General features: G+C 43.4%; 1 protein-coding gene and 1 pseudogene across 1 annotated transcript; both read left to right on the forward strand.

Moving 5' to 3' along the window:
- LOC124901865 (translation initiation factor IF-2-like) overlaps positions 1-22,222 on the forward strand; it is a 451,468-nt pseudogene that overhangs the window by 251,389 nt on the left and 177,857 nt on the right.
- On the forward strand, positions 16,280-17,551 carry DEFB103A (defensin beta 103A). The gene is made up of 2 exons (NM_001081551.4): positions 16,280-16,367; positions 17,311-17,551. Exons 1-2 carry the CDS (start codon positions 16,310-16,312, stop codon positions 17,454-17,456), a joined length of 204 nt encoding a protein of 67 aa, NP_001075020.1. The 5' UTR covers positions 16,280-16,309; the 3' UTR covers positions 17,457-17,551.

Raw genomic sequence — 22,222 nt, forward strand, 5'->3', positions numbered from 1 at the left:
CTGAGCTTTGGCCCTTCCTTGATAATTTGAACACACGTTGTTTGCTCTTTGATTTTGAAAACAAAGATTACATGAAATTCCTATGAACCATACAGTATTGGGACTGTACAGGTGATTCATTTTATTAACTAATAATTGAATCTTCTTGATTCAAATAAGATACAGCAAATGTGATTCGAGATAGTTGTCAACCTGGAAAGAATACATATTGCATTTTAACATCATACAGGTGGAGTAATTTAGTGACTAAAACACACACATGCAGATACATGTATAATTTACACATAGTGTCTCACTATGCAATTATAGCCAGAATGGATTTTTTTTTTTTTTTTTAGACTGAGTCTCACTCCATCACCCAGGCTGGAGTGCAGTGGTGCAATCTTGGCTCACCGCAACCTCCGCCTCCCAGGTTCAAGGGATACTCCTGCCTCAACCTTCCCAAATAGCTGGAATTACAGATGTGCACACCTGAACCTGGCTAGTTTTTATATTTTTAGTAGAGACGGGGTTTCACCATGTTGGCCAGCTGGTCTCGAACTCCTGACCTCAGGTGATCCACCCTCCTTGGCCTCCCAAAGTGCTGGGATTACAGGCATCACCCACCACGACCGGCCTAGAATGGATTTTTAAACCACCCATGCATGAGCCAATCTCCCACACAAGCTCAAAGTCTAAACCTTTTAGAGTTGGTCTGGGCTCTTCAGATCAAGGCAGTCAGGTCTGTCTTGCCACCTCTTGGAACACTTGAATGCAAATAATCGTCACAGAAAGGTGAGGCTCTTGTCCTGCCACCCATCTCCGAAGGTGATTTATTATCACCAAATCCCACCCCCATGACAATCCTTGCTGGGCGATATGAGCAGGTCCTTCCCACTGAAACTCCTCCAAGCCCCTATCCTTCCTCACATGAGGCAGAGACGGGCAGCATAGCTCTCCCAGGCTGATTATCAACCAACTGAAAATGGCTGTCTGTTAACCTACTGCAACAATAATGGGATAAGATGGATTTTTAACAAAACAAAGAAGAAAACCTTTCAAAATCCTACTCTTGCAGTACCATAGGCTATGTGCTTTAACAATAACACTGCAATACCTCAGAATACTAAAATTCCTCTTTTGGAATTGCCTTCCACATACCCCTCTATGCACACAAATAATGTCATCTGTTCGGAATGAATTAAGAAATTCACCCAAAATTATAAAAGAAATTCACCCAGGGTCCTCGGCTTCCTCCCTCACTCTGCAGAGAAGCAAGGGTCCGCCACACTCAGAAGACCATAAATGGCATCTCTAAAATCCTGATGGTCCTCGGGATCGCAGGATGCCAGAGGTTCAAGCTGTTTCCAGGATTCCTCCCCATGGGATGCCACGGGTGTGTTAGATCACCTGCAGGTTGTTCTACAGGTGACTCCACTGGAAGCTTAGTCACAGGTCTCGCCTGCAGGGAAACATGTGCCTGTCCTGACTAAATCTGAGAATGCACACAAAGGAGTAGCCCACCCTATAGACAGGCTAGCAAGGGCTTCGTGGTCACTGTGGTTACCCAGAGGGAGGCCCCTGGGATGGGACACAAGCACCGGCACAGACAAGGCCCAGGCAGATGCAGAGCTCAGACCAGATCTGTCCAGCATACAGGTATAGAAGAACTCTGTTGCTAAACTCCCAGGGGCCCAAGCACCTCCTGCAGGTAGACCTAGCAACACCACCTCTCCCAGCTCGTTGGAGCTTACTGAATGCTTTCTCCACTCCAGCTTCTGTGCCGAGCACCGCCCATGCATTGATCCCAGGTCATCTATGGAGTGGCATGAATATGCCTACACTGTAGATGAGATACTTAAGACTCAGAAATGTGAACTCACTTACCCAGAGCCACACAGCCAGGAGCCAGCAGACTTTTACCATGTCTATTTTAAGGTTCAAGAGGCATGTCTGCATGAAGCAAGTTAATGGTGGAAACTGATGGGCCCCCAACCTGGTGCACTTTCCCTTATGCCACATGGTTCCTATGCCGTAGAATATAGGAGACATGCTGTTCACCCACAACGTCACTTCTAGCTCTCCCTCTCTTAATAAATAGTGCTTGTGACAATCACTGTGGTCATAACAAGGATAACAGAAGACCATGCATTAAGAATTGCTTTTTATGTTTTACACTTGATCTGCAATGAAGTGGTTATTATTACTTGGACATGAAGAAGTGGAAACTCACCCAAGTTAAGAAACTTGCCCAAGAGCACACAGCTGGTAAAGTGGAAGAAAGGGGCGGAGTCTCCTATTCTCACTGTGGTGGGAATGTGTGAAAGGAGTTGGGGTTTCTGCCAAATGCATGTGTTCCTGGATTTGGGCAGGGTGGAAAATGACTTGTGAGCTTTGCTCCATGCCGCTCTGGGAAGCCATCTCAAGGTATTTCACAGCTCACCTCAAGACTAAGAGATAAGGGACCCCTGCCCTGTCTCAGGAGAAGGAAGCAGACAGGAGCCTGGCAAGATGGTCCTGGAAGGAGGGAGATTTGTGTCTGTCCCAGCAGTGGGTATTGGGAGAAGCCGGTGGATGATTTTACACTCAAAAGTCTCCATCCCTTTGATCCATGTTAGCATAGCAGGCTTCTCCTCCTGTCATTTGAACTTCCAAGGAGAGGTTTGAATCCACTGTTCATATTTCCCACTCAAAAATATAAATGGAACTAGAGGCACAGTTCCATGCCTCTAGACACTGGCTTAAGCCTGTTGTCAGGCCTTGAATTGCCAGCTTCTCGTGTCCTGGGACTCCAATGCAGGGCTGCAGGGAGAGAGAAGGGTCAGGCTCAGACATGAGACCCATCACTACAGGAGGCTCCCCTGGTCCCCGAGTGGGTCTGCATGGTGCAGAAAAGCAAGAGAGACGCATAAATTCAATGTAGCAGAGCGAACTGGCTTCCTTCCTATGGTAGGATCCTGGGTACAGCATGGAAACTGAAAATGACAAGTGGGAAAGACTCGATGAGCAAGCACAGGGAGGCCAGCAGAGAGCAAAGCCAGGTCCCAGGCCCTGGGCATGGATTCAGCCACCGGTTTTGGTCTAAAAGCAAGACGGAGACATCCAAACCAAAGCCAGGTGGCCCGTAAAGGGGCGATGGGCACCAGACAGGAAGGAGGTCAAGAGCCTCCCTGACGCTGAGCCTGGTGCTCCCAGGCCTCCCTAGGTACCAGGCTGACTGTCCTGAAGCCTAGTCTGACCCCCGCATTGACTGCCTAAACCCCATCACAAGCTGCTCACTGTCCTCCTGGTTAGCCCCAAACTTCCCAATAGGGTCCCCAAGACCCCTTGTACAGAAGCCCCCGCTAAACTCCCCAGCCAGAACTGCTGCCTTGTTCATCTCCAACCAGCCCAAAGTATTTTTTCTTGTTGTTGTTTTTTGAAACAGGGACTCACTCTGTTGCTCAGGCTGGAGTGCAGTGGCACTGTTACCGCTTATTGCAGCCTCTACCTCCTGGGCTCAAGTGCTCCTCCCACCTTAGCCTCCCAAATACCTGGGACCACCGGCATGCACCATTGCACACTGCTAGTTTTTTTAGGTGTTGAGCCACCACTTCCAGCCCCAAGGTATTTTAAATTCCTGAACTCACATGCTTTTTATTTTCCAGTTTTGTACCCTCTGGTTCCTACACCTGGGGCATTGCTCACATTTTCCCCTGTTCACCCTTTAGCTTGCAGCTCTGACTACACTTTCTCCGGGAAGCTGACACTCAGGCCCGAATGTGGCTGGCTGCCGCTCCTGTGACTCCTCCACTGCTGGGCCCACCTGGAGCTGGAGTCTGTCACCATGCAACTGCCTCCTGTGTCTGCTGTCCTCTACAGACTCCTGTGCCACCCAGAGCCTGTGACCTGTGCACCATTTATTTTCCTGAATATTTAGCTCGATGCCTATGTTTGTGGAAAGAAGGAGGAAAAGGAGGGAGGAATGAAACTGGGAGGAAGGAAGGAAGAAATGAAGGAAGGAAGTTAAGAACTAGCCCAGTGGCTGGCACCCGGAAGAGTGACAGATCAGCCCCACCAGAATGTGGGGAGAGTCAAAGGGACTCTGTCCTCCCTTCCTGCCTCCCAGTTGACTCAGCGCCTAGATCCTGGGTGGGGGAGCCCATGGAGGGAAGCATCAGCTGCCAGGCCGGGTAGAGGGGCAGCAATGGGGGGACCAGGTGACAAAGAGACTCTCAGCCTCTCTGTAGGATTGACCAGGCATGTGGTAGTGCCTGGAAGTGGGGAAAGTTGCTACAGCTGAAGAAGTCTTGGAAGGCAGCATTTCGGCATCATTGTGCTTCTCCATCCTTCTTCCTCTAAAGGGGGGTGTCTTTCTATCCAATTCCTCCCACAAGACTCATGTGTCCTCCTCCAGGTGAGGAAAGCCTGGCAGACTCTAGCATGACTGGGAGTAAAGGTGGCTGGGCAATCTCAGCACCAGGAATGCACATTCACACCACGAGACAGGGCAAAGGCTAGGTCCCTTCCCGGCAGGGGGATGCGCCAGCCTCGGGCTTCCTGGAATTCTCATCTGCCTGACCAGCTGATGGCAGAGTCATGGTGACTCAGGACTGAATATTCAGCTGCGATGTTCGATGCTAGGTGTGGTGCACGTCACAGGTGAGCAAAACCAAAGGAACTGGAAAAGCTTCACATTTGAGTTTACCATTGACACTGAGTTGTTTTACAGGGAGGAGCCTGAGGTGCAGACGGTATCAGCTACAGGCCAGGTTGTGTCTCTAAGCCAGATGAGTGTCCTCATCCTTAAGGAGTCATCTTCCTCTAATCCTCTGGTTCTCATCCCCATCTCAGCTGCTTTTGAAAATTAAATATTATGCCAAGGCACCTCCTGCAGTGATGTGACTTCCTTGTCTGGGGTGGATCTTTAGCTGTTATTATTAAGATACCTCATTGTGTTCATTCTGCATCCAGAGCTCAGAACCATTGCTTGAAGTACAGAGTTGTGGTTCTTCCTGAACAAAGTGTTTCTGGGTCCTCCTATGTGTTGTGAGCGTTGCCTGGAACCGAGGCCCTGCTGGGGGTCATGGTCTTCTGCTGTGGTCACCTCCATGTAAAAGATGATGCCCTCTCTCCAGGAGCACACAGGAGGGTTGCAGTGGACCACAGTCACCCTCCCCTGACCAAAAGTTCCCTCAAACTCCCTTACACTTTTGTACGAGACCTATGCAGTACAAACAGAACATTTTATCAAAGTTTCTGGAGATTTCATCAAAGAAGGGCAACAAATTAAAGTCTGGAAAATTAATGCTTTTCCCAGATTCCAAAAGGGAAGTTTCTTTGCTTAGGTCCTTTAAAAGGCCAGTGGGCTCTTACGTGTTCCAGCCTCAGTCTCTTGACCCCAAGTTGTCCTCCTCCTTCATTCACCCTCCTTCTCTCCTTCACTGCTTGGGAGTGCAGTCTTGCTTCACCGCTCTCCTTCACTCCCTCCCTCCCACCTGCCAGCAGTGAGGACACCACTTGATTGTTCCAGCACCTCTTTCCCTTCGCTTAAACAGGCTGGAGCAGTCACTGAGAATAGCAGCAGGAATATCATGGGTATCTAGTGACACCCAAGCTCCAGAGAACATTAAGCCTGAGGGGCTGAGTTCTCTAAAATGCCTTGTCTACTGGGTACTGGTCGAACCCTCAGGCTGTCTCCATGCATGCCCACCAGGGTGAGTGCAAACAAACTTATTTCTTAGCTCATGAACCTGTTAGATAGAACATCTGTACAACTCCCCAGGACAAATGTTAGGTTGTGAGGACAGTACAGTCTCAACCCCAAGTGAAGAAAGAAATATTTCCCTGATTACTGAGATGCTTCTCACTTCCCCAAGAGCTAGGATCTCATTGTTCACCAAAGTAGCATTTGATTTCTTTCCTGCTCCACCTCATGCCTTCTTGGATCATTAAGGTACACTGTCACCCTCTTTTTGTATCTCAGGAGGTGTTGAACCTGGATTCTTCAAGTTAGGATCAAATTAAATATTTTTTTTCTTCCTGGAAAAAAGGAAAAAAAGGTAAGAAGAAGTTGGAACCTTGAAAAAAGAACAAATAGATTGCAGGGTAGGGAAAGAAACAGCTACCTCATTTATTTGGCTGAGTAGCCTTTATGGAAATAAAAATAGAGAAAAAGACTTCCTTTTCAAAGAAGCTGTCCCCAGGAAATGGAGAAATGCCAAAAACCACCTCTGTGCACATGCTTGTATCAGAGAGGAATAGAGAACAGGAGGGTACTGATTTCCACTCCTATAATCTTCCGTCTCCAAAAACTAGATAAAGAGATTTCAATGTGTTTTTGAGAAAAACTAAAACACATTTTTGGTTTGCCATTGCACAGAATGGCATGAGGAACTCATAGCATGACTTAAAGAAGATGCCCAGTTTTGAGATTGAATTAATGGGCAACTGCTCAAAGATGTGATATTCTTAAATATACTCTGAGATCTGAAGTTAACAAAGAGAAAAAAAATAGTGCATTGATTTTATAAGCAAAGGAACTACAAACACTAAAGAAAAACAATTAACAACATGACAATAGTAAGTCATTACCTATCACTTTGAATGTAAATGGATTAAATTTTCTAATCAAAACATGTAAAGTGGTTGAATGTATCAAAAAGCAAGGTCCAACTATATGCTGTCTACAAGAGACTCACTTTAGCTAGAAGGACTCACACAGGCTGAAAGTAAAGGGATGGGAAAAATATTCCATGGAAGTGGTAACCAAAAAGAGCAAGAGTGGCTGTTCCTACATCAGATAAAAGAGACTTTAAGTCAAAAGCTGTAACAAGAGACAAATAAAGTTATTATATAATGATAAAGTGGTCAATTCATCAAGAAAATAAAACAATTATAAATATATAAAGCAAAGATTTAGAGAACTGAAAGGAGTAACAGCAATTCAGTAATATCAGAGACTTCAACACCCCACTTTCAACATTGGATAGGTCATCTAGAAAGAAACACAACAAAGAAACAGTGGACTTGAACAACACTAAAGACCAAATGGACCTGACAGACATATACTGAACATTCTATTCAACAGAAGAATACACGTTCTTCTCAAGGGCACGTAGAATATTTTCCAGAGTAGATAACATGTGAGGCCACAAAACAAGTTAATAAATTTAAGAAGATTAACATCATATGAAGTATGTTTTACCAACCACAATGGTGTGAAACTAGAAATGTGTGTGTGTATGTAGAAGTGTGTGTCTTTTTCTGTAAAGAGGGAGGGATAAGATGTATTCTAGATGTGAGGAAGAGAGAGAAGAACATAAGAGCTCTAATGTTCTAATGTAAGAATATGTGGCTCTGATCTGGGATTTCCCTGAAGTTTGTGTGAGCGGGACTTGTGGATCTAGATGTTATGACATCACAGAACTTCGCAAAGGCCATATTGAAATAAAAATTGGCCAGTGTCCTGGACCCAAGATACAAGCAGATGGTAAAAGAACATAATTTCTCTGTTTTAGGGAAGATCTCAAAATAAGCATCATTCAAGTGGTTCTCCAAAGACCATCAGAGCCAGGCCAGTGAGAGATAGTAAGGAATTGGGTACTGCAGTGCATTGGAGCACTCATATTCTATGTAAGGAAGCTGTCCCCAACCTTTTTGGCACCAGGGACTAGCTTTGTAGAAGACAATTTTTCCATGGACCAAGGTGGGGGAGATGGTTTTGGAATGATTCAAGTGCATTACATTTATTGTGCACTTTATTTCTATTATTACATTGTAACATACAGTGAAATAATTATACAACTTATCATAGTGTAGAATCAGTGGGAGCCCTGAGCTTGTTTTCCTGCAACTAAAGAGCTCTATCTGGGGGTGATAGGAGAGAGTGACAGATCATCAGGCATTAGATTCTTATAAGAAACATGCAACCTAGATCCCTGGCACGCACAGTTCACAATAGGGTTTGCAGTCCTATGAGAATCTAATGCTGCCACTTATCTTACAGGAGGTGGGGCTCAGGTGGTAATGCAAGTGATGAGGAGCAGCTTTAAATACAGATGAAGCTTCGCTCACTTGCCTGTCACCCACCTCATGCTGTGTGGCACGGTTCCTAACAGTCCAGGGACGGGTACTGGTCCATGGCCCAGAGGTTGGGGACCTGTGATGTAACGGGACAAGAGATTTTTGGATAAATCTCAGTGTTACATGTAGAAACGTGGGCCCTGGTGGTTTAATCATTGAATTTTTCTGAGGAAGTCAGAAAACTGAATTTTTATGCAAAATTTTTAGTGTTTTAAATGTTGACACCTAATATCAAAATACTTCGATGGACTATATTTTACTCATGGGCTTCCAATTCAAGACTCTGGTTTAGATGCAGGAATCAGCTTGACAATTCAATGAACCATGAAGACTTAGACCTGTAATGACCTCAGAAATCCATGATTCCTTTCCCTTTTGTAGGCAGAATAAAAAATGGAAGGGCTAGACTTGGTCAACAGTTAGTCTAAATTTACATAGCAAATTTGTAAAAAAACTGGGACTGAAACATAGGTCTCTAAATCTCTTCCATTCTTTGCACTATACCTCACTATATTAGTTATCCATTGCTGCATAACAAATTATCCCAAAACTTAGTGGATGAAGACGAGAAACATTGTTATCTCACACATTCTGTGGATTGTAGAAACTAGGCATGGCCCAGCTGGGTGCTTCTAGATCAAGCTCAGTCATGAAGTCGCAGTTAAGCTGTCAGCCAGGGCTGCATTTGTATCTGAAGCCTACACAGGGAAGGATCTACTTCCATAAACTCACTCACATGGTTATTGGAGGGAGTTAGTTCCCTGTGGGCTGGTATATTAAGAGCCTTAGTGACTGACTAGCTGTTGGCCAGAGAAGCCCCTCAGTTCATTGCCTTGTAGGTCTCTCCATAGGGCGACTCAAAACATGGCAGCAGGCTTCCACAAGAGCAAGAAGAGTGAGAAGGCATCCAAAACTGAACCCACAGCCTTTTTATAGCTTACTCTCATGACTTCTGAGATTAGGTTATAATCTATTGCTTCATAGACTTATAATCTATTTATTAGAAATGAGTGAATGAGGCCAGCTCATAATCAAAAGGAGTGGCTTACACCAGAGCATGAATCACAGCATTTCACAAAGACAGGAATCCTTGGCAGCAATCGTAGAGGCTGCCTGCCACACTCAGTGTCTCATAAATTTATGCCAGGGGTCAGAAAACTATGGACTGCTGGCTAAATCCAGTTGCCACCCAGTTTTATAAATAAATTTTTATTGGAACAAAGCCATGGCCATTTGTTTATGTATTGTTTATGACTGCTTCTGTACTATAGCTGCAGAATTAAGTAGTTGCAACAGAAGCCACATGGCCAGCAATGCCTAGAAATATTTACTGTCTAGCCCTTTACAGAAAAGGTTTGCTGGCCCCTAATATATGCAATCATAAAACCTCTTGAAAAATATGGAAGAGGAGATTGAGTCAGAGATGTCAAATTCATCATTTTATTGAATTTTTCTTGGTGCTCTAGCACCATAAATACCATGCTATGTAATTTTATAAGGCAGTTAGCTGGAAATTCTCAAAACAGGAGTAGCCCTGTGGTCTGAGCCAAGTGGGTGAGGTGTGGCTTCCATTCCCCAAGCCCTCTCTCATTTATTCTCCACCATATATAATCATTTACCTTTCCACTGGGAAACCCCACACCAAAAACCTTTGACAGAAACATGGATATAAAATATAACTACAATAACCTGAATAATAAAGCAAGTAGTTAGCATAATCTGTGAGCCTGATGGTCCTGGGCTTCAAATTTTAGAAAGTTATTTCGTTTGTCTTAGCCTTAGTTTCCTTAATCTTTTTTTTTTTTTTTTTTTGGAAACAGAGTTTTGCTGTCACCCAGGCTGGAGTGCAATGGCGTGATCTGGGCTCACTGCAACCTCAACCTCCCAGGTTCAAGCAACTTTTCTGCCTCAGCCTCCCAAGTAGCTACGATTACAGGTGCCCGCCACCACTTCTAGATAATTTTTGTATTTTCAATAGACACTGGGTTTCACCATGTTGGCCAGGCTTGTCTCAAACTCTTGACCTCAGGAGATCCACCCACCTTGACCTCCCAAAGTGCTAGGATTACAGGTGTGAGCCACTGTGCCTCCTCCTTATCCTTAAGTAAAAATTCTGATACCTACTTTATGCCTTTTTTTGTCAGAGAAATGCATTAAAGCACCATTGCCATGCCAGGTACGTAATAACAGCTCCATAGATACTAGCCACCATGTGCAAATCATTTAATAGTCATCCATGGCCTATTACCACATCAGTCAATAGGCTCATTTCAATTACCAGTTCTGAAGAAAGGATAGTGGCAGACGACCTGTTTTAACAAAAAGTCCCCTGGGTCACACCTTTTGCCTTGGATGCATCACTTCCCCACCTCAGCTGCCAGCCCATTGATGAGTTGAGCTCATGATTGCTTTGTAAGAGCCACCTGTCCCCTAAAAGTCCTCCCTGAGGAAGCAGCCATCAGAACTGTGTAGGCTGGTGGCCAGAGGTAGTATAGGGTGTGTTTTTACTGGGACAGGGCCATGATTAAATAGAAAGAACCCGGTTGGAGTTACCCAGTGTAAACAGAAGGTGAGGTAGTATTATGCACTTCATTCTATTTGTGGTGAAAATATTGCTGCCAAATGGGTAGAAAAATGTCTTTAGGGTAGCTTTATATGAATTTCTCATACACTTATCCCCTCCTTGATTTTGCCTATAGGAATTAGGAGAGTCAGTCCCCATCTTGTCAGGCATGATTTTAGAAACTCTGGGAAAGGCATGCAACCCCACATCACTGCTAAGCCTGTAAATTCCTAAACTAGTTTGAGCCTGTTTTAAAAAGATGCCATATGTTAAGCCTGGCTCTCTCTCCATAGCATGTCTCCCTCAGTGCCTGCTGGCATCACCACTTTAATTCTAATTGATGGGACCGCCACCTACCCTGTCCCCTGAACAGTATCCCTAGGCTGCCTCCTCTCTTAATTGCTTCTCTCATGCTCAACCATTGTATTAACTCTTGATTGCTTCTTCTAGATGGCTCTGGCACTCAGGTCTGCCTCTTTCTCCCACTGGCATCCGAAACACAGCAGACCTGAGTTCAGCTCTTGGTCTTCTGGCCTTCAGTCTCATAAGCCTCTGCTCCACCCTCCATATCATATCTGCACCAAAGCACGATACCAGCATTCCCTAAAGGCAAGGGTTACTGGGGGCCATTGCAGTGGCTGCCTGCCACACTCAGTATCTCACGAATTTATTTATGTTTTGTTAAACCATAAGTGTGTTCAGATTGTTCTCATGTTGTAAATCATTTGTTGTCTTTGCATTAGCTGCTACTGTTCTCTCCCTATTTCCTTGCTCTTCTGGAAGTATTTCTTCTTTGTGATATTCATCCTGAGCATCCTAGGAGATACTCTAGGATTTGAAAATAATTCTTATTATCTAAAGGGTGAAAGCAACATAGGACTTGAGTATATACTTTCTCATTAATATAAGGACATAAATGAAAAGACACCATCTATTAAAGATAATAAGAAATGTTCACAAATAGTATATGGCATTCATTATGGAACTTGGTAGAAGCTCCAAGTGTCATGCAAAATGTGCTCTGCAGAACTGCAGAGGAGGGAGGGATCTCTTTCAACTGGGGTGATTGAGATCATGAGGAACTGGTATTTGAGTTGGTCCCTGAAAATTATGCAAACCACTTTGTAGAAAGAATTGGCTGATGGCTGTAAACCCAGCACTTTGGGAGCGCGAGGAGGGCAGGTCCCTGGAGATCAGGAGTTCAAGACCAGCCTGGCCAAAGTGGTGAAACCCTGTCTCTACTAAAAATACAAAAATTAGCTGGGCATGGTGGTGCAAACTTATAGTCTCAGCTATTTGGGAGGCTGAGGTGGGAAAATCGCTTGAACCCGGGAGGTGAAAGTTGCAGTGACCCAAGATTGTGCCACTTCACTCCAGCCTGGGAGACAGGGTGAGATTCTGTCCCCCCCTCCAAAAAAAGAAAGAAGAGTCAGAAAGAACCTAGTTTCCAGCATCTATCACCAAGCAATTTGGAGAGTGAAGTTGATATTTACAGAAAAAGTGATGTAAAGATTGGTTGAGAACATTGGGGAAATGGTCCAGACTAGAGATGAAGATGGAAGGTAGCTGCATGCAGGCATAGATAACCACATCCCAAAGATCATATGAAGCCAGCAGAGGCCCGCGAGTAAGCATCTGGAATACAGTTAGGAACATGGGAGCATCAACTGGCCTTTCCCCATTTGGGAAATGCAGATAAGTGTATCAACATTATTAAATTACTGCATGATTCAAATGAAATAAATGCAAGTAAATTGCTTAGCACAGTGTCTAGAACATAATATGTGCTCAATAGATCTGTTACAATGACGTGACAATGATGATAAGGAGGAGGATCATTATCATCATCATCATTATGATTGCCATGAAAATGTTAAATTCTTGAAGATGTTCCCTTTTGGGGACTTCAGGGACAGGAGAAGGAGGAAAACTTCCATGATGAATCAAAGGCAGTAATGGGAAGGATAGGAGGAGACAATGGAAAGCGGATGTCTGTTATATCGTGTTACTGTCAGCTTGTATCTTTTTCCATTAGACTAGGAAATAGTGAAAATTCAGAGCCTAGAGAGTAAATATTGTTTATCTTTCTTTCCTGCACAGCACCAGGTCCTAAGACCCTAATACAGAGCAGATGTCCATGAAGTTCTCTGGACGTTGAATTGAAATTGAGGGATAGGTTTCTGAAAGTGGCCTTACGAGGCACATGTTGCAAAACGGGCAGGTTGGAAGATTACAGACAAAAAACTCATTGAGCTGGGGATGTAAAAGGCTTGGCTGGACTTAGGAAGAGTAGTTTGGACAGATTTCTTGAGATGCTAGGATGCAAAGAATTTAGGGACAATGGGGTGATGGAAAAGGGTACACACCTAAGTATAGACCACTACACATGAGTGTAGATCACCAATAGTCAAGGGATGACTCTGAGAGCAGGCAGAGAAATGACTGGACATGCTGGCTTCAGGTCACAATGCTGCAATTCACTACAGCATGTCATTCAACCTCTCTGAGCCTCAGTGTCTTCATCTATAAAATTGGAAAAATGTCTGCCTTTATTTGTATAACTTATATAATGGTGGTTGTGACAAGATTAATGGCTGCAAAGGAGAATGGCTGAGCCAACCTTCATCTTAGACTATGTCAAGATGAAGAGGAGTTGACACCCTGGATTCCCGTGCTGGGAGCCCATGCCAGAGTCTTGATATTGTTAACCGAGGGTCACGTGGGTGATACTTGGGTGATACATGGGTCACATGGTAATTTGCAATGTACAAGTCAATTTCACACCATTAACTCATAGGGCTTTCACTGTGACCTAAACAGGAAATGTACTGCTCTCTGTGCTTTGTTGCTGAGTTACAGATGCTCACAGAGCTTAGGTAATTTATTCAGGTAAACCCACGCCATACACGGTAGGGCTGAGTGATGGCCCAATGACGCCTCACTTCAGACCTGGTGTTTGTCTTCTACATAGCTCTGCCCTTCTGCCACAAACTTGGACCAATCACATCTCAGCTCCACATTTTAAGAACAGGATTTAAAAAATAATAATTAAAGGAAAGTCTGACATGAACAAAGGTGATAAATAACTAAAGTTTCTCTTCCTTGCTCAACCTAATCAAAATGTCAAAATGCTGGCTGTGAGAGCTACAAGGAAACCAAGCACATGGGTACAAAAATTTGCAGGATCTGCAGTTCCAAGTGCTGTGACTCAGAGCCCAGGGGCAGGGAGTGACAAGACCCAGCTGTCGTTAGTGTTGTGTGGCTTCAGACACATGAATCTATTCACCCAACTATTAGACAGCACACGTGTACTTGTTATCATTTGAGAGGCTAAAAGTATTTATGACATAAAAAGGATTATAATAAGCCAAAAAGAGGACAATTCACAGTTGTCAGTGGCTCCCTGGAGTAGAGAAGTAAATTACACAGTCTCTCTCTTCTATTGTTTGAAATTTTACCATAAAAATGCATTACTTTTATAATTTTCTTAAAACAGGTAAGTCCCCCTCAAAACGGATTTTGTGTGTCTGGAGTATGTCCAAACTTGAAAAGGCTGATTGTCACAGCCCAATCTCCAATTCCCAGCTCCCAAACTAGTTGACAAGAAAAAGTGGCATTTTTCCTCACCAAGGAACTTTTATGAAATAGTGGTGTTGCCATAAAAATGCCTCCCAGTCTATGAAGGAACAGGTTAGACCAGGGGTTCACCTGTGGAAGTCTATTCTCCATGTGGAAAAGCAAGTCATCTCCAGCGTCTGACTGTCCTCACCCCAGGCTGAGAGCTGGTGCTAACCCTCTACAACGCCCAATGCCATCGTTATGTCTGACATAGTAAGACTGTGAAGTCAGCACCCATCCCACCCACACTCACCTCCTTCCCCCATTTATAAATATCTCCAATTGCTTTGTCTCAAATCATGAACTAAAGAGGAAAGTTAGATTTTAAAAAGTAGCATCTACCTATCTAAAGTCTTAAATCTGCTGATTGAGCTCCACTCTTGGCTCAAAGAGTTATCTTTGAGTTATGATGAGTTATCTTTCTTCTACGTTTCTGCAGCCCTGTGCTTGAAATCTTCCTATGACTCCCATTAGAATTCATCCTAAATTTATCATTTGACTGTCTGCCCATCTACCTGGCCCTACATGGAGCTTCTGGAGAGAAAGAACCAAGACTGGTCCCTCTTGGTATCTCATCCACTTCACCCTCACCTATGCTGAAGACATGATACTTGTCCCTTCCTATAGTATGTGTTCAGAGTTTTCTTACTGAATCTGACAGGTGTGGTGCACCCAAATTCTGAACACACACTCCCAGAACTAACACACCCTTGATCCTTAGTGGATCCGTTATAATTGCATTCACACGAAGCAGCAGCTAGGAGACATCACGGTGACTTCAGCTCCCAATTGAATTGTCATTGACTTACTTAGTTCCCAATTGATAGTCAACCAAATACAACCCATCCATTGGATTCCTGAACATTTAAGTTTAATAGCTGTTTTTTTTTTCTTTTTTAGCATTTTTCCCTCTAAACGTTGAATCTATATGCAGGGGAAATCATCTGGCCCCTGGACTGCCTTGAATGCTCCTGAGCCAAGAGTAACTTGAGGTCTTAAATGTCTATTCTGAAGCCCCTCTTTTGCACAGGGACAGTCATTGACTAGGAGGAGATGCCAGTCTATTAAATCTATCATCCCAGCATCCTCTTTCTCTGATGAAGTAAAATTAAACACCTTCTTTACTCATAAATTTGGTAGGTTTTAGACAATGATGAAGAATCGGACATGGGCCGCACACAGTGGCTCATACCAGTAATCCCAGCAATTTAGGAGGCTGAAGCAGGAGGATTGCTTGAGCCCAGGAGTTCACATCTGGGCTCGAAACCAGTCTGGGCAGCATAGTGAGACCCCATTTTATTTTCTACAGAAAATTTAAAATTTAGCCATGTGTGGAGGCATGCGTTTGTGGTCCCAGCTACTCAGGGGGCTGAAGTGGGAGGACCTCTTGAGCCTGACAGCTCAAGCTGTTGTGAGCTGTAATCATGCCACTGCACTCCAGCCTGCACAAAAAAGTGAGACTCTGTCTCTCAAAAAAAAAAAAAAAAAATGAAAGAATGAGACATGTTTCACTCAAATTATAGCACCCCATCATAGGCCAAGGGCCAGGTGGTCAGCTAACCTTGAATGTAGCCCATTTTCCTCCCTTACCTCACTACCAAAAAGCCAGTCCTATTGCCAGATATTGAATATGTCCAGGGCTGGATTTATTTGGTCCCCAGGAGGGTCTTAGACTCTCCCAGCATTTTAGGAAGAGAAAAAAAGCTCCAAAGCAGCAAAGTACGGACAAGTCAGCCCCCAGCCACATGCCCTGAGACTATTCCCCAAAGGGGGCATACTTGCTCATGCCAGCCCTATCTGTACCCACAACCCAATCTGACCCACACCCAGACAAGCCCCTGGAGTCCAGAGAGCACCCGGACAGCCACAAATCCATAGGGAGCTCTGCCTTACCATTGGGTTCCTAATTAACTGAGTGAGTGGGTGTGTTCTGCATGGTGAGAGGCATTGGAATGATGCATCAGAAAACATGTCATAATGTCATCACTGTAATATGACAAGAATTGCAGCTGTGGCTGGAACCTTTATAAAGTGACCAAGCACACCTTTTCATCCAGTCTCAGCGTGGGGTGAAGCCTAGCAGCTATGAGGATCCATTATCTTCTGTTTGCTTTGCTCTTCCTGTTTTTGGTGCCTGTTCCAGGTAAGATGGGCTGGGAAATCTAAGGATTGATCTAATTGAGAATATATAATTCAGAGTCAGTATTTCTCCATCCTTCAGAGTGCTTTGGACCAAGCAGGTTTGTTGTATGGGAACTAGGCATCACCACTTTTTTTTCAGACAAGAATCATTAAGAGGCCAGGTGCGGTGGCTCATGCCTGTAATCTCAACACTTTGGGAGGCCGAGGTGGGCGGATCACGAGGTCAGGAGTTCAAGACCAGCCTGGCCAAGATGGTGAAACCCCATCTCTACTAAAAATACAAAAATTATCTGGGCACAGTGGCGGGCACCTGTAATCCCAGCTACTCGGGAGGCTGAGGCAGAGAATTGCTTAAACCTGGCAGGCGGAGGTTGCAGTAAGCCGAGATCACGCCACTGTCCTCCAGACTGGGTGACAGGGTGAGAGTACACCTCAAAAAAAAAAAAAAAGAAAAGAATCATTAAGAAACTAAATAGCTCCCCAAAGCTATCTCTTTCCCCAACTCTTCAAGGGAAGATTATTATACCAGCTGATGAGACATGAATCAGACATAAAAGTTTAATGTAGCAGGAAAGATTGATTTACTCTGAGAATAGAAGCACAGGCTCCTGTTCTACTAAGTGCAATGGTTGGAGGTGGAGTGTTGGGGCTACCTCTGAGGACACCACAGCCTCAGCACCCCCACTGTTCCTGCGGCAGTCACAGGGTCACGCCACTTCCCCGGTGCCACTGTGGGTCCACAGCTGAGCTGCAGCCTTAGAAACATTGTCTATGGGTTGTGTAGTCATACCTTCATCTTCCTCCTGATTTTATAGAAAAAGGAAAAAGAAACAAAAGAATACAAGAAAAGCAAGGGATGAGTTATTTGAGGAATTCCACAAGCCTTGTACGTGTACCAAAAGCCTTCCTAAAACCTTTCCGTGTGTGCTGTTTTGTCATTGCAGGTCATGGAGGAATCATAAACACATTACAGAAATATTATTGCAGAGTCAGAGGCGGCCGGTGTGCTGTGCTCAGCTGCCTTCCAAAGGAGGAACAGATCGGCAAGTGCTCGACGCGTGGCCGAAAATGCTGCCGAAGAAAGAAATAAAAACCCTGAAACATGACGAGAGTGTTGTAAAGTGTGGAAATGCCTTCTTAAAGTTTATAAAAGTAAAATCAAATTACATTTTTTTTTCAAAAAAAATTAGGAGCTTGATTTTTTTTTTTAAATCTGATTATTTTGGTACTTGTTTCCAAACAGACAACTCAGAAAATCTTAAGGACTCACCTTTCGTTCAAAGAAAGTAGAATCTCTGGAGAAATCTATAAGGGAGCCCAACCTTATTATCCAAGGGTTATCAGGTTCTATTCCTACTTTGTGAACGTTATGCCCCAGTGAAGTTGGACTCTTCACTCTCTTGGAATATGCCCTTTGCTTTCATGTCATCCAAGCCTTGGGCCTTTTCAGTCCCTCTACCCCAAATGGCATCTGTCCACCAAATCTATCTCTAAGGTTTTCATGCATCCCTCAGGGGCTATCCCAATTCCTTCCAAAAACTTTGTCTTCAGAGAAATAAGGAAACTGGCTCTTCCTCAGATATTCACTTTGCTTTCTCTCACCCATGCCTCTGCTCTGGTTGACCTCATGTCTGCCTCACTCCTCCAACTTCATCTCTAAACTTTAACCTGTCCTTCAGGGACCGTCTCACATTTTATCTCCACCTTAAAAACACAGGTGATTTCCCAAATGCTTACAGTCTTTCCTCTGGTTCACCACAGGGTTCTGACTTGAGTCCTCCATCTACAACCCTTGCTTGGTTTTTACATTGCGTACAGTGACATATTGCCAATCTCCATATTAGACTTTGTGAGCCTTAAAAGCAAGGAGTTTGTCTTAATTCTTCCTGTACTGCTTGTAAAGTGCCCTGAGCATGAAGGCTGCTCAACAAGTATTTATGAATTGAAGTACATTCAAACGATTTATTGATTGAATTATCTTTAATCATTCAAATGATTTGGAGGTACTGCAGTTTAACTATCTAGTGCTCTCTCAACGTTGATGCAGTAGGATTCCAGCAAATGGAGTGTGTGGTTTTTCATACCTGACACCAGACCCCAGTCATGGCTCCACGTATGGAGAAAAGACAATACAACAAGGCTCTTAGGAAGAAAGGCTCAAGGGCTCAAAAAGATGAGACTGCTCCTCACTTTCCATCCAAAATGGACTCACTGCTATGGGAATCTCCCTCTGACAGCAGACAAAAGGGAACCTGTCAAGATGTGTGACAGCTGTGTTCAGACATTGGATAATAAGCAGTGCAACAGACCAATGAAGTGAGACTTTCGATTGCCCCCAGCTCACTACAGCAGCAGGGTCCAGACCACAGCACACAGAGGAAGACTCAAACGAAGTCCAGCAATCCTGAAGCATTGAAGAGACTGAAATCAAACTTCCCAAAGCACAAGACACCCCCACTTCCAGGGCAGAATAGCAGAGAGAGGTTGCCTAGAAGGAAGCAAGGCCCCGAAGTGTTGGTGGTGGGGGCAGGGACACATGGTAAATCTTCAGTCCTGGGCTGTGTTTTCATGTGAGCACGCTTGGGGTAAGACTTCACAAGGCTAGAGGCAAAGAAAAACACCCAAAAGGGATTGGATAACAATTTTAGGAGCACTAAAGGCTGGAAAAATTTTCATTCCCACTAGCAAAGTGGAGAGACTGCAGAGTCCTTGGGCAACTAACACATTAGTAGTAGTGCTATTTGGCTCTAGATTAAATTGTTCTGCAACCACTCTAACAAATTTTTTTCTAAACCATTCTTGAAAGGACCAGACTGATCTATGAGAAACTTAAATGTGGGACAGAATAAAGCCTAACGTTCTTCAAAGAAAAACAACTAAATCCATCACTCAACAGTTTGTGCTTTATAGCACACTGAATCTAATAAAAAATTAGCTGCTATGCAGGAAAATATGGTCATAATCAAGAGAAAAATCATTCAGTAAAAACAGATCCAGAAATGACAAGGATACTAGGATCAGCAAAAAAAGATTTAAATGAGCTATTATAAATGTTATAAATATGTCCGAGTTTGAAGAGAAAAACTGTTCATGATGAGTGAGAGATATAAAGAGACAAATGGAATTTCCAGAGATTAAAAATAAACATCTGAGTAAAAGATACTATGAGTTGGATTGTGGCATATATTCCAAAATAAAGATCAGTAAACCTGAGTTTATATTACTACAAATGAATGAAGAAATAGTACAAAGAGAGGAGAAAAGGGCTGGAAAATAATAAGCAGTGACCTGTGCAGAAACATCAAGCAATCTAGCAACTATGTGTGTTTAGACAGCCAGGCGTGGTGGCTCACACCTGTAATCCCAACACTTTGAGAGGCTGAGGAGGGTGGATCACAAGGTCAGGAGTTCAAGACCAGCCTGGCCAATATGGTGAAACCCCATCTCTACTAAAAATACAAAAATTAGCTGGGTGTGGTGGCGTGCACCTGTAATCCCAGCTACTCTGGAGGCTGAGGCAGGAGAATCGCTTAAACCTGGGAGGCAGAGGTTGCAAGTAAGCCGAGATCACGCCACTGCACTCCAGCCTGGGCGACAGAGCAAGACTCCATCTCGAATAAAAGAAGAAAAGTTTTGAGAGAGAGGATAGAGCTAAGGAAGGAATGGCCTATTGTTTTCCAAATTTGGTGAGACTATAAACACACAAATTTACCACATGAAGACATCCAAGTTGAAATATGAAACATGAAGAAAACCACATGAAACATATCATAATCAAATTATTTTAAATCAGTAATAAAAAGAAAATTTTAAAAGCAGCCTGAGGGCGGGCACAGCGGCTCATGCCTGTAATCCCAGCACTTTGGGAGGCCAAGGTGAGCGGATCACCTGAGGTCAGCAGTTTGAGACCAGCCTGGCCAACATGGTAAAACCCTGTCTCTACTAAAAAAAAAATACAAAAATTAGCCAGGCATGGTGGCACGCACCTATAATCCTAGGTTACTCAAGAAGCTGAGGCAGGAGAATCTCTTGAACCCAGGAGGCGGAGATGGCAGTGAGCCGAGATCACCCTACTGCACTCCAGCCTGAGCAACAGAGAGAGACTGCGTCTCAAAAACAAAAATAAAACTAAAAAGCAGTCTGAAAGGAGACATATTACTTACAGAAGAACAAAACGTTAAGTGTTATCTTCAAATGCCGAAAGAAAAAAAATGTTCTCTTAGAAATCCACCCCAGCAAAAGTATATTTCTAAAAAAAGGGTAAACACATAATCAAATAATAAGTAAAGGCATTTTCCAGTAACAACAATAAAAGCTAAGAGAATTCCTCACCAGCCAGTCTGTACTATAAAATGCAAAGATAAGTTTTTTGGCAGAAAGGGAAGATGCTAGGTAGAAATTTGATTCCATATGATGAAAAGAGCATGCTGTGAACATTCTAGAAGCTCCTTAAAGAGAGAGATTGTCAGTTCAGTAAAAAGCAAGACCCAACTACATACTGTCTATAAAAACCCACTTTATATATAAACTTTAAGAACAAACTTAGAGTAAAAATAAAAGGATGGAAAGAGATATAATATGAAAACATTAGTATAAAGAAAATAGGATTGGCTATACTGGCTCATTGACATAAATTAGGGTAGATTTTAGAGCAAGGGGTATTATCAGTAATAGGGAGAGATATTTTTCCTAATGATAAAGTGGTTACATCACCAAGAACAGATATTAATATTAAATCAGTGTGTGCCCCTAATAACAGAATTTTGAAATTCTTAAAGAAAAATCAATAGACATTAAAGAAATAGACAAATTAGCAATTGCAATTAGACAATTCAACACTTCTCTTCCTGTAAGAGATTTTTTAAAGCAGACAAAATATTAGTAAAGGTAGAGAAGTCTTGAGCAACGCTACCGTCCAGCACAACCTATTTGAGATTTATAGAACACTCTACCAAATAACAGCAGAATGCATTAAAATATTACCCAATAGAGCTCATACTAACCTATGAAACGTCTCAAAAAATCAACATAGTTTAAAGTTATACAAAAGACAGTGTCTATCTACAGTGGAATTTACAAAACTATCAATACAGAGAGTCATCTGGAAAAATCTCCATATATTGGGACATCAATGAACATGTATCTAAATGGTCCAGAGGAGAAATCACAAGATACTTTAGAAAATATGTTCAACTGATAGAAAATGAAACCATAACATATCAAAATTTGTGGAAGTGCCACTAAAGTGGCTCTTGGAGACAAATTTATAATTAAATGCTATTATGATAGAAAGCAGAAAAGCTCACAAATAGACAATTTAAGTTTCCACTGTAAGAAACGGTAAGGGAAAAGGGAACAAACTAAACCCAAAGTAAATAAGAAAAAGAAAAAAAAAGAGAAAAAGAAAAAGTGAATAAAAAGAAACTGGACACAAAAAACATTAAAAATTAGTAAATAAAAGCTGATTCCTTGAGAGGATCCATACAATTGTGAGAACTCTCAATAGGTTCATTAAGGGGTAAAGAAATTACTGTAAGTCTCAGGTGCACACCCAGGCTTCAGGCAGGCAGGAAACAGATTACATCTGCGTTTTAGGGTCATATAGACGAGCCGCCACGAGGTGGCAGTAACTGCGCGCTCATTCCCTCACCTCCTGCAAGACCAGGCCAGCCCAGGCTCTGGACTCACCACTCAGCTCAGAAGATGGAAGAGGGTGACAGTAGCTCCATGGACTTTGGCTTTAGGCAGAGCGTTACTGTAGCTTTGGGGTTGTAGGAGGATGAAGAGGGGAGGTTATCAGGACACCATGATGATTGTGTGGCGCTGGTTAGGAACATGGGCTTTGAAGAGAGGGGG

The sequence above is a fragment of the Homo sapiens genome, chromosome 8 (assembly GCF_000001405.40).
Source record: "Homo sapiens chromosome 8, GRCh38.p14 Primary Assembly".
Classification (NCBI taxonomy): domain Eukaryota; kingdom Metazoa; phylum Chordata; class Mammalia; order Primates; family Hominidae; genus Homo; species Homo sapiens.

Excerpts from the sequence above, each read along its gene's own strand:
- DEFB103A (NM_001081551.4), top strand. The coding sequence starts at position 16,310 with ATGAGGATCCATTATCTTCTGTTTGCTTTGCTCTTCCTGTTTTTGGTG. Across the intron at positions 16,368-17,310 it reads GTTTTTGGTGCCTGTTCCAG|GTCATGGAGGAATCATAAAC; the intron begins GTAAGATGGGCT and ends TTGTCATTGCAG.